The sequence below is a fragment of the Homo sapiens genome, chromosome 8 (assembly GCF_000001405.40).
Source record: "Homo sapiens chromosome 8, GRCh38.p14 Primary Assembly".
In the NCBI taxonomy this organism is placed as follows: Eukaryota; Metazoa; Chordata; class Mammalia; order Primates; family Hominidae; genus Homo; species Homo sapiens.
This window is the reverse complement of record NC_000008.11, coordinates 59,444,288-59,464,483: the sequence shown is the minus strand read 5'-3', so window position 1 is coordinate 59,464,483 and position 20,196 is coordinate 59,444,288. Positions and strand designations below refer to the sequence as shown.

General features: G+C 38.1%; 1 pseudogene, besides 2 other annotated features; it reads right to left on the bottom strand.

Moving 5' to 3' along the window:
• Window positions 1,501-2,000: an enhancer, noted in NCBI's record as "H3K4me1 hESC enhancer chr8:60375043-60375542 (GRCh37/hg19 assembly coordinates)". NCBI's record gives its function as "activates a minimal SCP1, AML or CMV promoter by ChIP-STARR-seq in naive H9 embryonic stem cells {active_cell/tissue: H9 hESC(naive)}" and the evidence as "EXISTENCE:reporter gene assay evidence [ECO:0000049][PMID:30033119]".
• Window positions 2,001-2,502: an enhancer, noted in NCBI's record as "H3K4me1 hESC enhancer chr8:60374541-60375042 (GRCh37/hg19 assembly coordinates)". NCBI's record gives its function as "activates a minimal SCP1, AML or CMV promoter by ChIP-STARR-seq in naive H9 embryonic stem cells {active_cell/tissue: H9 hESC(naive)}" and the evidence as "EXISTENCE:reporter gene assay evidence [ECO:0000049][PMID:30033119]".
• On the bottom strand, window positions 8,474-8,599 carry RNA5SP267 (RNA, 5S ribosomal pseudogene 267; annotated as a pseudogene).

Below are 20,196 nucleotides of genomic sequence, written 5' to 3'. Positions count from 1 at the left end.
TTTGCTGAAGTTGCTTATCAGCTTAAGGAGATTTTTGGTTGAGACAATGGGGTTTTCTAGATATACAATCATGTCATCTGCAAACAGGGACAATCTGACTTCCTCTTTTCCTAATTGAATACCCTTTATTTCCTTCTCCTGCCTGATTGCCCTGGCCAGAACTTCCAACGCTATGTTGAATAGGAGTGGTGAGAGAGGGCATCCCTGTCTTGTGCCAGATACCTAATGTTAAATGACGAGTTAATGGGTGCAGCACACCAACATGGCACAAGTATGCATATGTAACTAACCTGCATGTTGTGCACATGTACCCTAAAACTTAAAAGTATAATAAAAAAAAGAAAAAAAGAAAAATAAGGCAAATAGGATAAAAAAAAAGCATACAAATTGTATCACACTAAAATTAACTAAAATAAAGGTGGAGTAGCTATATTAATATCAGGCTAATTAGATTTCAGAGTAAAGAATATAACTCAGGATAATAAACATCATTTTATAATAACAGAACCAAGTCATTAAGCACACATAATAACCTTAAGGATTTATGTATTTTATAAGAGAGATTCAAAATACAAGAAATGAAAACTGGTAAAACTTAAAGGAGAAATGGGCAATTGCACAATTAAATTTGGAGATTTTAATACCCCTCTCTTAATAATTGATAACTCAATTACACAAAAAATCAGCAAGCACAGAAGAGTTGATGACTACCAACCAAACTAATTTAACTGATATTTATAGAGCATTTAATCTGCAAGTAGCAGAAAGCACAACATTTTCAAAAGCCTATGAGACATTTACCAAAAGTTGGCAAGATTTGTGCACTGACAACTATGAAATATTTTTCAGCAAATCAAATTGTCTCAGTAAATTTAAAATACTTCAAATCATACGAACTATGCTTTCTGATGCAATGGAATTGAAGTAAAAATCAGTAACAGAAAGGTTATTAGAAACTCTCCAAAAGTTGGAAACTAAATAATACACTTTCAAAAACTCATGGGTCAAAGGATAAATCAAAATAGAAATTAGAAAATATCCTAGCCTAAATAAAACAGAAAGCATAATTCATCAAAATTCTGGAATGCTTCTAAACTAGTAATTGGGGAAATTAAAAGGACTGAATGCCTATGTGCAAAATGAAGAAAGGTTTCAAATCAATGCACTTAATTTCCACTATAAAAATGTAAATCTGAAGGACAAATTCACCCAAAATAAGCAAAATGTTTAAAATATAATTGCAAATTAATAAAATGCAGAACAGGAAAACAATGAGAAAATAACTGAAAGAAAAACCTGCTCCTGCTAAAAGATAAACAATATTGACAATTTTCTGGCCAGACTGATCATAAAAGACAAAGTGAAGACACAAAGTAATAATATTATAAATAAATATGGGGACATCACTACAGATTCTCCACATAGTAAAAGGGTGATCAGAGGGTATTATGAACAATTTGATGACTTAGATAAAATGAAAAACTCCTTGTAAGATAAAAACTTCCAGAGATGGAGCTAAGATGGCCTAATAGGAACAGCTCCAGTCTACAGCTCCCAGCGTGATCAACGCAGAAGACGGGTGATTTCTGCATTTCCATCTGAGGTACTGGGTTCATCTCACTAGGGAGTACCAGACAGTGGGCGCAGGACAGTGGGTGCAGCGGACATTGCACAAGCCAAAGCAGGGTGAGGCATTGACTCACTCAGGAAGCACAAGGGGTCAGGGAGTTCCCTTTCCTAGTCAAAGAATGGGGTGACAGACAGCACCTGGAAAATCAGGTCACTCCCGCCCTAATACTGAGCTTTTCCGACGGGCTCAAAAAATGGCACACCAGGAGGTTATATCCCACACCTGGCTCAGAGGGTCCTACGCCCACAGTCTTGCTGATTGCTAGCACAGCAGTCTGAGATCAAACTGCAAGGCAGCAGCAAGGCTGGGGGAGGCGTGCCTGCCATTGCCCAGGCTTGATTAGGTAAACAAAGCAGCCAGGAAGCTCAAAATGGGTGGAGCCCACCACGGCTCAAGGAGGCCTTCCTGCCTCTGTAGGCTCCAACTCTGGGGGCAGGGCACAGACAAACAAAAAGACAGCAGTAACCTCTGCAGACTTAAATGTCCCTGTCTGACAGCTTTGAAGAGAGCAGTGGTTCTCCCAGCACACAGCTGGAGATCTGAGAAAAGGCAGACTGCCTCCTCAAGTGGGTCCCTGACCCCCAAGCAGCCTAACTGGGAGGCACCCCCCAGTAGGGGCAGACTGACACCACACATGGCCAGGTACTCCTCTGAGACAAAACTTCCAGAGGAACCATCAGGCAGCAGCATTTGTGGTTCACCAATATAGGCTGTTCTACAGCCACTGCTGTTCTGCAGCCACCACTGCTGATACCCAGGCAAACAGGGTCTGGAGTGGACCTCTAGCAAACTCCAACAGACCTGCAGCTGAGGGTCCTGTCTGTTAGAAGGAAAGCTAACAAACAGAAAGGACATCCACACCAAAAACCCATCTGTACATCACCATCATCAAAGACCAAAAGTAGATAAAACCACAAAGATGGGGAAAAAACAGAGCAGAAAAACTGGAAACTCTAAAAACCAGAGTGCCTCTCCTCCTTCAAAGGAACGCAGCTCCTCACCAGCAACAGAACAAAGCTGGATGGAGAATGACTTTGACGAGTTGAGAGAAGAAGGCTTCAGATGATCAAACTACTCCAAGCTACAGAAGGAAATTCAAACCAATGGCAAAGAAGTTAAAAACTTTGAAAAAAAATTAGACGAATGGATACCTAGAATAATCAATGCAGAGAAGTCCTTAAAGGAGCTGATGGACCTGAAAGCCAAGGCTCGAGAACTATGTGAAGAATGCAGAAGCCTCAGGAGCCAATGCAATCAACTGGAAGAAAGGGTATCAGTAATGGAAGATGAAATGAATGAAATGAAGTGAGAAGGGAAGTTTACAGAAAAAAGAATAAAAAGAACTGAACAAAGCCTCCAAGAAATATGGAACTATGTGAAAAGACCAAATCTACATCTGATTGGTGTACCTGAAAGTGACAGGGAGAATGGAACCAAGTTGGAAAACACTCTGCAGGATATTATCCAGGAGAACTTCCCCAATCTAGCAAGGCAGGCCAACATTCAGATTCAGGAAATACAGAGAATGCCACAGAAATACTCCTTGAGAAGAGCAACTCCAAGACACATAAGTGTCAGATTCACCAAAGTTGAAATGAAGGAAAAAATGTTAAGGGCAGTCAGAGAGAAATGTCGGGTTACCCACAAAGGGAAGCCTATCAGACTAACAGCAGATCTCTCAGCAGAAACTCTACAAGCCAGAAGAGAGTGGGGGCCAATATTCAACATTCTTAAAGGAAAGAATTTTCAACCCAGAAGTTCATATCCAGCCAAACTAAGCTTCACAGTGAAGGAGAAATAAAATCCTTTACAGACAAGCAAATGCTGAGAGATTTTGTCACCACCAGGCCTGCCCTAAAAGAGCTCCTGAAGGAAGCACTAAACATGGAAAGGAACAACTGGTACCAGCCCCTGAAAAAACATGCCAAAATGTAAAGACCATCAAGGCTAGGAAGAAATTGCATCAACTAATGAGCAAAATAACCAGCTAACATCATAATGACAGGACCGAATTCACACATAACAATATGAACTTTAAATATAAATGGGCTAAATGCTCCAATTAAAAGACACAGACTGGCAAATTGGATAAAGAGTCAAGACCCATCAGTGTGCTCTATTCAGGAAACCCATTTCACATGCGGAGACACACATAGGCTCAAAATAAAGGGATGGAGAAGATCTACCAAGCAAATGGAAAACAAAAAAAGGCAGGGGTTGCAATCCTAGTCTCTGAGAAAACAGACTTTAAACCAACAAAGATCAAAAGAGACAAAGAAGGCCATTACATAATGGTAAAGGGATCAATTCAACAAGAAGAGCTAACTATCCTAAATATATATGCACCGAATAGAGGAGCACCCAGATTCATAAAGCAAGTCCTTAGTGACTTAGACTCCCACACAATAATAATGAGAGACTTTAACACCCCACTGTCAACATTAGACAGATCAACGAGACAGAAAGTTAACAAGGATACCCAGGAATTGAACTCAGCTCTGCAACAAGTGGACCTAATAGACATCTACAGAACTCTCCATCCCAAATCAACAGAACATACATTTTTTTCAGCACCATACAACACCTATTCCAAAATTGACCACATAACTGGAAGTAAAGCACTCCTCAGCAAATGTAAAAGAACAGAAATTATAACAAATTGTCTCTCAGACCACAGTGCAATCAAACTAGAACTCAGGATTAAGAAACTCACTCAAAACTGCTCAACTACATGGAAACTGAACAACCTGCTCCTGAATGACTACTGGGTACATAATGAAATTAAGGCAGAAATAAAGCTGTTCTTTGAAACCAACGAGAACAAAGACACAACATACCAGAATCTCTGGGACACATTCAAAGCAGTGTGTAGAGGGAAATTTACAGCACTAAATGCCCACAAGAGAAAGCAGGAAAGATCCAAAATTGACACCCTAACATCACAAGTAAAAGAACTAGAAAAACAAGAGCAAACACATTCAAAAGCTAGCAGAAGGCAAGAAATAACTAAAATCAGAGCAGAACTGAAGGAATTAGAGACATAAAAACCCTTCAAAAAATTAATGAATCCAGGAGCTGGTTTTTTGAAAAGATCCACAAAATTGATAGACCACTAACAAGACTAATAAAGAAGAAAAGAGAGAAGAATCGAAAAGACGCAATAAAAAATGATAAAGGGGATATCACCACTGATCCCACAGAAATACAAACTACCATCAGAGAATACTACAAACACCCCTACACAAATACACAAATAAACTAGAAAATCTAGAAGAAATGGATAAATTCCTTGATACATACACCCTCCCAAGACTAAACCAGGAAGAAGTTGAATCTCTGAATAGACCAATAACAGGCTCTGAAATAATCAATAGCTTGCCCACCAAAAAAAGTTCAGGACCAGATGGATTCACAGCTGAATTCCACCAGAGGTACACGGAGGAGCTGGTACCATTCCTTCTGAAACTATTCCAATGAATAGAAAAAGAGGGAATCCTCCCTAACTCATTTTATGAGGCCAGCATCGTCCTGATACCAAAGCCTGGCAGAGATACAACCAAAAAAGAGAATTTTAGACCAACATCCTTGATGAACATTGATGCAATAATCCTCAATAAAATACTGGCAAACCAAATCCAGCAGCACATCAAAAAGCTTATCCACCATGATCAAGTGGGCTTTATCCCTGGGATGCAAGGCTGGTTCAACAGACACAAATCAATAAATGTAATCCAGCATATAAACAGAATCAAAGATAAAAACCACATGATTATCTCAATAGATGCAGAAAAGGCCTTTGACAAAATTCAACAATGCTTCATGCTAAAAACTCTCAATAATTTAGGTATTGATGGGACGTATCTCAAAATAATAAGAGCTATCTATGACAAACCCACAGCCAATATCATACTGAATGGGCAAAAACTGGAAGCATTCCCTTTGAAAACTGGCACAAGACAGGGATGCCCTCTCTCACCACTCCTATTCAACATAGTGTTGGAAGTTCTGGCCAGGGCAATTAGGCAGGAGAAGGAAATAAAGGGTATTCAATTAGGAAAAGAGGAAGTCAAATTGTCTCTCTTTGCAGATGACATGATTGTATATCTAGACAACCCCATTGTCTCAGCCCAAAATCTCCTTAAGCTGATAAGCAACTTCAGCAAAGTCTCAGGATACAAAATCAATGTGCAAAAATCACAAGCATTCTTATATACCAATAGCAGACAAACAGAGAGCCAAATCATGAGTGAACTCCCATTCACAATTGCTTCAAAGAGGATAAAATACTTAGGAATCCAACTTAGAAGGGATGTGAAGGACCTCTTCAAGGAGAACTACAAACCACTGCTCAATGAAATAAAAGAGGATACAAACAAATGGAAGGATTTTCCATGCTCATGGGTAGGAAGAATCAATATCGTGAAAATGGCCATACTGCCCAAGATAATCTATAGATTCAATGATATCTTCATCAAGCTATGAATGACTTTATTCACAGAATTGGAAAAAACTACTTTAAATTTCATATGGAACCAAAAAAGAGCCTGCATCGCCAAGTCAATCCTAAGCCAAAAGAACAAAGCTGGAGGCATCACACTACCTGACTTCAAACTATACTACAAGGCTACAGTAACCAAAACAGCATGGTACTGGTACCAAAACAGAGATATAGACCAATGGAACAGAATAGAGCCCTCAGAAATAATGCCGCATATCTACAACCACCTGATCTTTGACAAACCTGACAAAAACAAGCAATGGGGAAAGGATTCCCTATTTAATAAATGGTGCTGGGAAAACTGGCTAGCCATATGTAGAAAGCTGAAACTGGATCCCTTCCTTACACCTTATACAAAAATTAATTCAAGATGGATTAAAGACTTAAATGTTAGACCTAAAACCATAAAAACCCTAGAAGAAAACCTAGGCAATACTATTCAGGACATAGGCATGGGCAAGGACTTCATGTCTAAAACACCAAAAGCAATGGCAACAAAAGCCAAAATTGACAAATGGGATCTAATTAAACTAAAGAGCTTCTGCACAGCAAAAGAAACTACCATCAGAGTGAACAGGCAACCTACAAAATGGGAGAAAATTTTCGCAACCTACTCATCTGACAAAGGGCTAATATCCAGAATCTACAATGAACACAAACAAATTTACAAGAAAAAAACAACCCCATCAAAAAGCGGGCAAAGGATATGAATAGACACTTCTCAAAAGAAGACATTTATGCAGCCAAAAAACATGAAAAAATGCTCATCATCACTGGCCATCAGAGAAATGCAAATGAAAAGCACAATGAGATACCATCTCACACCAGTTAGAATGGCAATCATTAAAAAGTCAGGAGACAACAGGTGCTGTAGAGGATGTGGAGAAATAGGAACACTTTTACACTGTTGGTGGGACTGTAAACTAGTTCAACCATTGTGGAAGTCGCTGTGGTGATTCCTCAGGGATCTAGAACTAGAAATACCATTTGACCCAGCCATCCCATTACTGGGTATATGCCCAAAGGATTATAAATCATGCTGCTACAGAGACACATGCACACGTATGTTTATTGCGGCACTGTTCACAATAGCAAAGACCTGGAACCAACCCAAATGTCCAACAACAATAGACTGGATTAAGAAAATGTGGCACATATACACCATGGAATACTATGCAGCCATAAAAAGGATGAATTCATGTCCTTTATAGGGACATGGATGAAACTGGAAACCATCATTCTCAGCAAACTATCACAAGGACAAAAAACCAAACACTGCATGTTCTCACTCATAGGTGGGAATTGAACAATGAGAACACATGGACACGGGAAGGGGAACATCACACTCCGGGGACTGTTGTCGGCGGGGGCCAGGGAGGAGGGATAGCATTTGGAGATATACCTAATGCTAGATGACGAGTTAATGGGTGCAGCACACCAATATGGCACACGTATACATATGTAACAAACCTGCACATTGTGCACATGTATCCTAAAACTTAAAGTATAATAATAATAAAATAAAATGAAATAAAACTTCCAAGCTCCCTCAAGAAAACAGAGCATGAATAGACCCGTATTTATAAAATAAATTGAATTTGTCATTAAACACTACTCAGAAATAAATTCCAGGCCCTGAAGTCTTTACTAGTGAATTATACCAATCATTTAAGAAATAGTAGTATCAATTGCACACAAATTCTTCTAGAAAATATAAGTTCCGGCCGGGCATGGTGGTTCATGCCTGTAATTCCAGAAATTTGGGAAGCTGAGATGGGCAGATCATGAGGTCAAGAGATTGAGACCATCCTGGCCAACATGGTGAATCCCTGTCTCTACTAAAAATACAAAAATTAGCTGGGCGTGGTGGTGTGTGCCTGTAGTCCCAGTTACTCGGGAGGCTGAGGCAGGAGAATCGCTTGAACCCAGGAGAAACAGGTTGCAGTGAGCCGAGATCGTGCCACTGCACTCCAGCCTGACAACAGAGCGGGACTCCGTTGGAAGAAAGAAAGAAAAAAAGAAAGAAAGAAAGAAAGAAAGAAAGAAAGAAAGAAAGAAAGAAAGAAAGAAAGAAAGAAAGAAAGAGAGAGAGAGAGAGAGAGAGAGAAGGAAGGAAGGAAGGAAGGAAGGAAGGAAGGAAGGAAGGAAGGAAGGAAGGCAGGCAGGCAGGCAGGCAGGCAGGCAGGCAGGCAGGCAGGCAGGCAGGAAGGAAGGCAGGCAGGCAGGCAGGCAGGCAAGCAAGCAGGAAGGAAGGAAGGAAGGAAGGGGAAAGAAAGAGAGAGAAAGGAAGGAAGGAAGGGAGGGAGGGAGGGAGGAAGGAAGGGAGGGAGAGAAAGGAAGATAAGAAAATATAAGTTCCAGAATTGAAGAGATGGGAATATTTTTCCATCCAAGTATTATCCAGGCCCGACCCTGCTTAGCTTCTGAGATCAGACGAGATCGGGCGCGTTCAGGGTGTTATGGCCATAGACTAGAATATTTTTCATCTCATTCTATGTGACCATTACTCTCGTGAGAAAACCAGACAAACACACTCTAAGAGAAGAAAACCACAGACAAATATCACTCATGAGCTTAGATGCAAACATGCTAACAAAAGATAATCAAACCAACAACATATCTATAAAAATGATAATACATAATAACTGAGTGGAGTTTATCCTAGGAACAAAGGTTGTTTTGTTCCTAGGATAAAGTAGGTTGTTCCTAGTTTGTTTTGTTCCTAGGTTGTTTTGAACATTTGTTCAAAAATCAGTAAGTGTAATTTATGATCTAAAGAAAAGTGTAAAAATTAAGGACATATCAATAGACACAGAAAAAGATAAAGAAGGAATAGCAAACTAGGAATAAAAGGACGTCTGCAACTTGATAAAAGGCATTTACAAAGATCCTACAGCTAACGTTACATTTTAATCGTGAGAGACTGAATGCTTTCCCCAAAATCAAGAATAAGACAAACATTTTTTCCCTCCCTTCTTTTATTCAACATGGTATTGGAAGACATGCGTAGGGCAATAAGGTAAGGAAAATAAATAAAAGATAGGTATATTGGAAAAGTAGAAGTAAAGCTACTTTATTCACAGACTAAACGATTTTCTATGTATAAAATCCAACAGATTGAGAAAAAAAGGGTACTAAAACTAAGAATTGAAGGATACAGGGTCAATATACATAATTTAATTATATTTCTATGTACTAGCAATGAACAGTTGGAAATTGAATTACAAAGAACAATATCAGTTACAATAGCAATAAAAGTTTGAGTTATTTAGGGAAAATTCTGACAAAAATTGGCAAAATTTGTACACTAACAAGAACGAAGTATTTTTGAGAGAAATTTAAAGAGATCTGTATAAATGGGGAGATATATCTTGTTCCTTGACCAAGACTCAGTGTTGTTAAAATCAATAACCCCCAAATTGAAACACAGATTCAAAGCAACCTCAATAAAAAATCCCAGCTGACTTCTTTGTAGAAGTTTGCAAAATGATTCTTACATTCATTTGAAAACACCAAGGACCTAAAAAAGCTAAAACAACTTTGTAAAAGAACAAATAATTTGGAAAGCTTCTTTGGCCTTATTTTAAGATTTATTATACAACTACCATCACACAATATGGTATTAGTATCAAAATAGATAAATATATCAAGGAAAAAACAAAAATTCATAATTAAATCACACATATAAAGTCAACTGATTTTTTTTTTTTTTTTTTTTTTTTTCACAAAATTGCAGAGGCAAATAGGGGAGAAAGGCATCTTTTCAGTAAATGGTACTGGAACAATTGGATATGCATATGAAAAAAATTCAATTTGTTCGTGATACAATAATAAAAAATTAGTTCAAAATAGATCACAGACCTAACAGTCAGTCTAAAACTACACAACTCCTAGAAGAAAACAAGAAGAAAATCTTTATGACTTTTAGCTAGGCAAAGAGTTATTATTTACAATACCAAAAATACAGTCTATTAAAGGAAAACATTTTTTTCCCAAAATTAAGAACATCTGTTCCTCAAAAGACAATCTTAGAAACTGAAAAAGCAAGCCATACACTTAGAGAAAATATTTTCAAAGAATAAATCTGAAAGCTGGGCACAGTGCCTCATGCCTGTTATTCCAGCATTTTTGGGTGGCCAAGGCAGGAAGATCGCTTAAGTCAGGAGCTCAAGAACAGCCTGGGCAATAGACCAAGGTCCCCATCTCTACAAAAAATTAAAAGATCAGCTGGGTGTGGTGACATGCCTGTAGGCCTAACTATCTATCTATCTATCCTAGTTCCTTTGTGTCCTCACTAACACTTGGTATGGTCAGCCTTTTAATTTAGCCATTCCAATCAGTGTGTATCTCAAATGCTTTTAATTTGCATTTCCCTGATGACCGAAGACATTGAATACCTTTTCTTGTGTTTATTTGCTATCTATATCTCTTTTATGGTGAACTGTCAATTCAAATATTTAGAGTATTTATGAGAATTAGATTGTGTGTTTTCTTAAGTTTTGAGAGTTTCTTCTTCAGCTATCCAGGATACAAGTCATTTATCAGATATATCTGATAAATGATATATATCTGACAAATATAAACCATATATATACTATAAATATCTGATAAATGACTATATATCTGATAAATGACTATATATCTGATAAATGATATATATCTGATAAATATAAACCATATATATATACTATATATATATCTGATAAATGACTTGTATCCAGGATAGTTGAAGAAGAAACTCTCAAAACTTCAGAAAACACACAATCTAATTCTCATAAATACTCTAAATATTTGAACTGACAATTCACCATAAGAGATATATAGATAGCAAATAAACACGAAAAGGCATTCATTGTCTTCAGTCATCAGGCAAATGCAAATTAAAAGCATGTGAGATACACACTGATTAGAATGGCTAAATTAAAAGGCTGACCATACCAAGTGTTAGTGAGGACACAAAAGAACTAGAATTCTAACATATTCTGGTAATGTAAAAGAGACAATCACTTAAGAAAATAGTTTGGCAGTTTTGTAAGAAGGAAAGTAAGTTACACCTACTATATGATCCAGCTATTCCATCTATACAAATTAACCCAAGAGAAAAGAAAGCTTATGTTCACATAAAATTTTAAAAATACTCATAGATGCTTCATTTGTAATAGCCAGGATTTTGAAAACAATCCAAATGTCTATCATCAGACAATGCTTACATCAATTCTAGTATATCCAAATAATATTAATAGAATACTACTTAGCAATAAAAAGTGATGTCACACTACAGCCTGGGTGAATCTCAAGCAAACCAGGCTAAAGGAATCATCATACTTGCTCTATGCTTCTGTCTATATAAAACTCTTTAAAACACAGACTAATCGGTAGTGACAGAAAGCAGATCAGTGCTTGCCTGGGAGAGGTGGAGTTAGGTGCAATGGGAAGAGATTATTACCATGTGGCATGAGAAACTGTTGGTAGTGTTGGATATGTTCACTATCTTGATTTTGTTGATGGTTTCACAGTTGTGTACATACATCAAAACTGATCAAAACATACACTTTAAATATGTGCAGTTTAATGTATGTCAATAAATAATAACATACAGAAAACAATTGAAAATGGCATAAGATTGTCAAGATAGAAAATAAAAGACAAGGTATAAGACTAAGGCTTAAAATACTTGACATTTAAATATCAGATTAAAAAAAGACAAATTTGCAAGGGTTACATAGACAAAGGTATGGGAGGGTTAAGAAAAGAAACCACAGAAAGAGTTTTTGAAGGAGAGAGTAGTCAGCAATGTCAAATTCCACTGAGAAGTCAAGCAAAATGAGAATTTACCATGTTCATTGGATTTGGATTAATGGAGAACTTCGGTGGCTATAGTAAAATCTGTTTGGTTGGAATCCTGTGGGTGGAAGGTAGATTGGAATGGAATGAGGAATGAGTGGAAGATGAGGAACTGCTAATGGTGGGAGAACATAAACAAGTTTTTCAGGAAGATAGTTTTGAGGAAGCAGCAAGAGGAACTGGAAGAGGATTTTGGAATCAAAGTGGAGATTTTATGTGTGTGCCTGCATATGTGTGTCTATGTGTGCTTGTGTGTGTGTGTACATGGGTGTGAAGATGGGAATACTTTGAGCATGTTAAAATACAGAATAATGATTCTACTAAGGAGACACACAACAAGAAAAAAAACTAAACTGATGGCTAGAGCCCCAGTACCTTTAAAAGTGGGAGAAAGAAGAGTCAATGCAAAATTTGAGGATGGCCCACACAGTGGAATGTTTATTTGCAAGATAGTATTCTCTCTCAAAATGGTTCCTTCACGTAGTCAGATTTCCATAAATATTTGTGACAAACAGATGAAAATGCAGAAAAATAGTTTTAAGTAACTCATACTCCAATTGCTCAGTCACCGAAAGGGTGTATAGAAATCTCTTATTCTACCTGACCTCTCATATGAAAGTTTGGTTTGTCTGCCAGTGAGCAATCATACTACAAGTGCTTTTTCAATCTACTATAGTTCACATTAATAAAATACTCCTCAAAAAGTTTAAAGAGAAGGATGTCAAATTTATCTTTTGCACTATATTAGTCATCTTGATTATTTACTTGCTCAAAGAATAGAGCATGCTGTTTGGATCCAAAATAGTGTATTTTTAGAGGCAAGTGGATTCACACATGTAATATGAAGCTTCACGTCACTTCCCATTAATTTAGATTATTGATCCTATTACAGAAGCTGAAATAGAAATGAGAGATTAGTATACTCTTCATGGGGTCTGGTTTTTTTGTTTGTTTGTTTGCTTGCTTGTTTTGTTTTGACTGTCAACAAAACTATAAACTTACTTGGAATTCAAAGAGAACTCTACTATTTGTAATAATTATTGATATCATTTCAATAACCTGGCCCCTGTGCTCTGAGCTTTTGGGGAATGACTAAATGAAGGTGTTAATGTGTTACATATAACAGATTAAATCTAGGCACAAAAGTAATCTGCTAAACACCTTCACCAAAGTTACAAAGTACAATAGATGGAGAGAAACTAAGCAGGCTTGGTTATATGAAGGAGGTGGCTTTTAAGTTGTGCCTTAAAAAAATGACTTGCACTTTGTCCTTACTTGTCTAATACTTTAGATTAGGACTTTTGGACTTAGATTGGAAAATCTATATTTCTAAGAGAATTTTTTTTCTTAAAAAGAAAGGTTTTGATTTCATTTTAACCATGATATAGCCTTTTGACCCTAGGCAAATCACTTCACTTCTCAGATGCTCTGTTATCTCATATAACAGTGGGGAAAGGATCAGTCCCTTGCTTCAGCATCATAAGGATGGCTTGCAGTAGGAATAGTGTTCCATCCTCTGCACACAGTCAATACTTAATAACTCACCTCTTTGGTGAGCTCCATATTATCATAGCCTAACCACAGCAAATAAGCAAACAACATAATAAATGAAAAAATATATATCAAATATTAGGGTTGGATAGTGAAACCATAGAGGGGAACTAATGAAAATGTGATCTCTAGGTGTTCCATCTACCATTTATGATTTCCAAGGGCTAGGTGCTTTCCTCCAATGTTCAAACACAAAGATTTCATTTTCTTTTTCTTTTTGTTCTCTGTATTCTTATTATTACTATACTTTTAAGTTCTGCAGTACATGTGCAGAACATGCAGGTTTGTTACATAGGTACACATGTGCCATGGTGGTTTGCTGCACCCATCAACCCATCATATACATTAGGAATTTGTCCTAACGCTATCCCTCCCCCAGCCCCTGACCCCCTGACAAGCCCCAGTGTGTGATGCCCACCCCCCAATGGCCATGTGTTCTCATCGTGCAACTCCCACTTATAAGTGAGAACATGTGGTGTTTGGTTTTCGGTTCTTGTGTTAGTTTGCTGAGAATTATGGTTACCAGCTTCATCCATGTCCTTTCAAAGGACATGAACTCATCCTTTTCAATGGCTGCTTGGTATTCCATGGTGCATATGTGCCATATTTTCTTTATCCAGTCTATCATTTATGGGCATTTGGGTTGGTTCCAAGTCTTTACTATTGTGAAGAGTGCCGCAATAAACATATGTGTGCGTGTGTCTTTATAGTATAATGATTTATAATCCTTTGGATGTATACACAGTAATGGGATTGCTGGGTCAAATGGTATTTCTAGCTATAGATCCTTGAGGAATAGCCACTCTGTCTTCCACAATGGTTGAACTAATTTACACTACCACCAACAGTGTAAAAACGTTCCTATTTCTCCACATCCTCTCCAGCATCTGTTGTTTCCTGACTTTTTAATCATCGCCATTCTAACTGGTGTGAGACGGTATCTCACTGTGGTTTTGATTTGCATTTCTCTAATGACCAGTCACAATGAGCTTTCTTTTCGTATGTTTGTTGGCTGCATAAATGTCTTCTTTTGAAAAGTGCCTGTTCATACCCTTTGCCCACTTTTTGATGGGGTTGTTTGTGTTTGTTTTCTTGTAAATTTGTTTAAGTTCCTTGTAGATTCTGGATATTAGCCCTTTGTCAGATGGATAGATTGCAAAAATTTTCTCCCATTCTGCAGGTTGCCTGTTCATTCTGATGATAGTTTCTTTTGCTGTGCAGAAGCTCTTTAGTTTAATTAGATCCCATTTGTCAACTTTGGCTTTTGTTACCATTGCTTTTGGTATTTTAGTCATGAAGTTTTTGCCCATGCCTATGTCCTGAATGGTATTGCCTAGGTTTTCTTCTAGGGTTTTTATGGTTTTAGGTCTAACATTTAAGTCTTTAATCCATCTTGAGTTAACTTTTGTATAAGGTGAAGGAAGGGATCCAGTTTCAGCTTTCTGCATATGGCTAGCCAGTTTTCCCAACAACATTTATTAAATAAGGAATCCTTTCCCCATTGCTTGTTTTTGTCAGGTTTGTCAAAGATCAGATGATTGTAGGTGTGTGGTGTTATTTCTGACCTCTCTACTCTGTTCCATTGGTCTATATATGTGTTTTGGTACAAGTACCATGCTGTTTTGCTTACTGTAGCTTTGTAGTATAGTTTGAAGTCAGGTAGCATGATGCCTCCAGCTTTGTTCTTTTTGCTTGGGATTGTCTTGGCTATACAGGCTCTTTTTTATTTCCATATGAAATTTAAAGTATTTTTTTCCAATTCTGTGAATAAATTCAATGATAGTTTGATGGGGAGAATATTGAATCTATAAATTACTTTGGGCAGTATGGCCATTTTCACGATATTGATTCTTCCTATCCATGAGCATGGAATGTTCTTCCATTTGTTTGTGTCCTTTTTTATTTCGTTGAGCGGTGTTTCATAGTTCTCCTTGAAGAGGTCCTTCACATCCCTTGTAAGTTGTATTCCTAGGTATTTTATTCTTTTTGTAGCAATTGTGAATGGGAGTTCACTCATGATTTGGCTCTCTGTTTGCCTGTTATTGGAGTATAGGAATGCTTGTGATTTTTGCGCATTGATTTTGTATCCTGAGACTTTGCTGAAGTTGCTTATCAGCTTAAGGATATTTTGGGCTGAGACGATGGGGTTTTCTAAATACACAATCATGTCATCTGCAAAGAGAGACAATTTTGACTACCTCTTTTCCTAATTGAATACCCTTTATTTCATTCTCTTGCCTGATTGCCCTGGCCAGAACTTCTAATACTATGTTGAATACTAGTGGTGAGAGAGGGCATCCTTGTCTAAACACAAGGATTTTTAACTGCACAGGAAAATGTTTGAATATTGGAAAGAGTGGTTCCACTCTATGAACTCTACAGTTTGGGTAAGTCCAAATCACTTTGCACAATGATCCTGATGCCTGCTACTTGTTTGTTTTGTCAATTTTCTATTGACCTGGCTGCTAATGACTTTTGTACATGAATTGAGGAGTGTATACCTTTTGAGTATGACATGGGCCATTAATTATGCATAAGGTTTATTTAAAAAATGCTGAGTGATCTGTTTTTCTTCTCTTTAGTTCTTATTCAGATAGAGGCAGTTGCTACAGTCAAGAATACAGGAGATTCAGTTGTTTTATATATATGTATATGATATATATACACACACACACATATATATATATATATAAGCCTTCATGGTGACCTGTACACACTAGGCTGGACAAATACTGTGAGATTCTTTCCTACCACAAAAATTTTGAAAATGTTGTTCTAGGCGAACAATGTACAGTCCAGTTTAAATTTTGATTTTGGGCCCAGAACCTCCTAAACTCGACTAATGTAGATTTTTCACCTTATAATCTTGTCTGATTTTTCTAATTAAACACAAGGTCAGTGGTTTGCCTCTTTTTTCTTTCAAAATTTGCATAATTTTACCAAAATATCTTTAGAAATGTGTTTTCTGTGACTTTCCTTGACTTAAAGATGAATACAGGGGGTGGAGCAAGATGGCAGAATAAAAGACTATACCATTAGTGCCCCCACTCAGGAACACTGAATTTTTGCAACCATCTACACACAGTAACGCATGTCACAAGAACCAAATTTCAGGTGAGGAACCACAGATAATACCTTTCTTTCATATTGCTGAAAGATGCATTGAAGAGGGTCAGAGACAGTCTTGAATCATGGATGTCACCCCTCTCCAATCCCACAGCAAAGGCTATGCCACTAGGAGAGAGAGAATCTGTGCACTTTGGGGAGGGAGAGCACAGCAACTGGGGGACTTTACATTGAGCTCAATGTTGCCCTGTCATAGCAGAGAGAAAAGCCATGCTGGGCTCAGCCAGTGCTCACACATGGAGCACTGGGCTCCATGTGGACCAGCCCCAGCCAGAGGAAAATAGCCCATCCCTGTGGTGGGAATTTGAGTTTCTTGTCAAACCTTGTTACCATGGGCCAAAATGCTCTGGGGTCCTAGGTAAACTTGAAAGGCAGTCTAGGACACAAAGATTGCAATTCCTAGGCAACAGCTAGTGCTGGACTGGGCTCAGAAACAAAGGACTAGAGTGGCACATGATCTAGGGAGAGAGGAGCCAAGGGATTACCATTCCTCTCACCACCTCAGGCTGCACAGCTTGGGACAATGAAAAAAATTATGTCCTTCTGCTTAAAAAGAGGAGTGCGAAGTGTAAAGAGGACTTGGTTTTGTATCTTGGATATCAGTTCAGCCACAATAGTTTACAGCACTGGGAGAGTCATGAGGCCCCTACTCCAGGCCCTAGCTCATGGACAACATTTCTACACACACTTTTGGCCAAAAGGCAACACAATGCCTTAAAGGGAAGGATTCCCAGTCCTGGTAGCATTTATCAACTGCTGACTAAAAAGCACTTGGGCTCTGAACAACCAGTAGTGATATCCAGGTCATATGCCATGGGCCTTGAGCTGTGAGATGTGTTGAATTCAGGGGTGACTCAGCATATTTCTAACTGTGGTGGCTGTGGTGAAAGACTCCTTCTGTTTGAGAAAAGCACATGGAAAAGTAAAGAGTCTTTGCCTTGCACCTTAGGTACCAGCTTGGCCACAGTAAGGCAGAGCAAGAAGGAGGCTCTTGGGGTCCCCAAGACCAGCCCTAGGTTCTTGGACAGCATTTCTGGACCTGCCCAGGGCCAGAGGGGAGCCCACTATGATGAAAGGCGAGTCCCAGGCCTGGCAGCACTCTCCACAAGCTGACAAAAGAGCCCATGGGCTTCACATGTACATCAATGGTGGCCTGGTCAACCCCCTCATGGATCAGTTGTGGTGGTGGCCACAGGGAGAGGTTTCTCTGCATGTGCAAAGGGGAGGGAAGAGCAGAAATAATTTTTTGTTGTGGTTTGAGTGCCAGCTTAGCTGCAGTAGAATAGAACAGCAGGCAAATTGCTAATGTTTTTGACTCCAATCCCTGGCTCCCAGAAAGAATCTCTTGACTCTCCTGGGGCCTGAGGGAACTCACTGCCTTGAAGTGAAGGGCAGAAACCTGGCTAGCTTCACCATCTGTTGATCATAGAGCCCAAGGGTCTTGAGTGAACATAGGTCGGAGGCAGGTGGTGGTTACAGTGGGCTTTGGGTGAGACTCAGTGCTGTGCTGGCTTTAGGTCTGACCCAGCACAGTCCCAGTGGTTGTGGCCACAGGGGTACTTGCATCACCACACCCGCAATTCCAGATGGCTCAGCACAAAGAGAGAGACTCCGTTTCTTTGGGAGAAAGTAAGGGAAAATAACAAGAGATTCTGCCTGGTAATCCAGAGATTCTTCCAGATCATATCCAAGACCACCAAGAAAGTATCTCCATGAGTCTGCAAAAATCACGGTGGTGTTGGGCTTGGGGCCAAAGTCCCTTCAAATACCTGCAATGCCTCCTCAAGAAGGATGGACACAATGACTACAATAAACCTCTAATTCTTCAATGCCCAGACACTCACAAATATTTACTAGCATCAAGATTATTCAGGAAAACATGACATCGCCAAACAAACTAAATAAGGCATAAGGGACCAATTCAGGAGAAACAGCAATATGAGACCTTTCAGAGAATTCAACATAACTATTTTAAGGAAACTCAAAGAAACTCAAGATAACACAAGAAGGAATTCAGAATTCTATCAGATAAATTTAACAAAGAAATTGAAATAACAGAAAGGATAAAATAGAAATTCTAGAGTTGAAAAATGCAATTGGCATACTGAAGAATATATCAGAGTCTCTTAATAGCAGAAGAAAAAAATAGGGATCTTGAAGACAGGTATTTGAAAATGCACAGTCAGAGGAGACCAAAGAAAAAAGAATAAAAAACAATCAAGCCTATCTACAAGATATAGAAAATCACCTCAAAAGGGTAAATCTAAGAGTTATTGGCCTTAAAGTAGAGGTAGAGAAAGAGACAGGGGTAGAAAATTTATTCAAAGAAATGATGTCAGAGAATTCCCCAAACGTTGAGAAAGATAGATACTAACATTCAAGTGCAAGAAGGTTATACAACACCAAGCAGATTTAACCCAAAGAAGACTACATTAAGGCATCTAATAACCAAACTCCTAAAAGTCAAGAATAAAGAAAGGATCCTAGCAGTAGCAAGAGAAAATAAGCACATAACATACAATGAGCTCCAGTACATCTAGCAGTAGACTTTTCAGTAGAAATCTTAGAGAGAGTGGCATGATATAGGTAAAGTACTGCAAGAAAAAACTTTCACCCTAGATAGTACATCCAGTGAAAATATCCTTAAAGCATGAAGGAGAAAAAGATCTCCCCAGACAAAAAAAAGCTGAGGAATTTTATCAACACCAGACCTTTCCTACAAGAAATCCTAAAAGGAGCTATTCAATCTAAAAGAAACAGATGTTAATGAGAGAGAAGAAATCATCTAAAGGAACAAAACCCACTGGTAATAGTAAGCACCCAGAAAAACACAGAATATTATATGACTGTAATTGTGGTGTGTCTACTACACTTATTTTTAAGTAGAAAAACTAAATAATGAACTGATCAAATATGATAACTACAACAATTTTTCAAGACATAGACAGTACAGTAATCTATAAAGAAAAACAACATTACTGTATAGAGTTTTCATTAGCTGTCTTATCCTGTGTTTGGTTGTTAATACAATCAATGTTAAGTTGACGTCAGCTTAAAATAATTGGTTATCAGATAGTATTTGCAAGCCTCATGGTACCTTCAAATTGAAAAACACACAAGATACACAAAAAATGAAAACCAAGAAATTAAATTATATCAACAGAGAAAATCACATTCACTAAAAGGAAGACAGAAAGGAAAAAAGGAAGAGAAGGGCACAAACAACCAAAAAACAAATAGCAAAATGGCAAGAGTAAGTCTCTACTTATTAATAATCATATTGACAATAAATGGACTGAACTCTCCAATCAGAAAATAGAGAAAGGCTGAATGGATTAAAAAATGATGCAATGACCTGTTGTCTACAAGAAACACACTTCACCTATGAAGATAAACATAGACTGAAAATAAAGGGATGGAAAAAGATATTCCATGCCAGTGGAATCTAAAATAAAGAGCAGGAGTAGCTAGATATCAGACAAAATAGATTATAAGACAAAAACTGTAAGAAGAGACTTAAAAAGTCATTCTACCATCATAAAAGGGT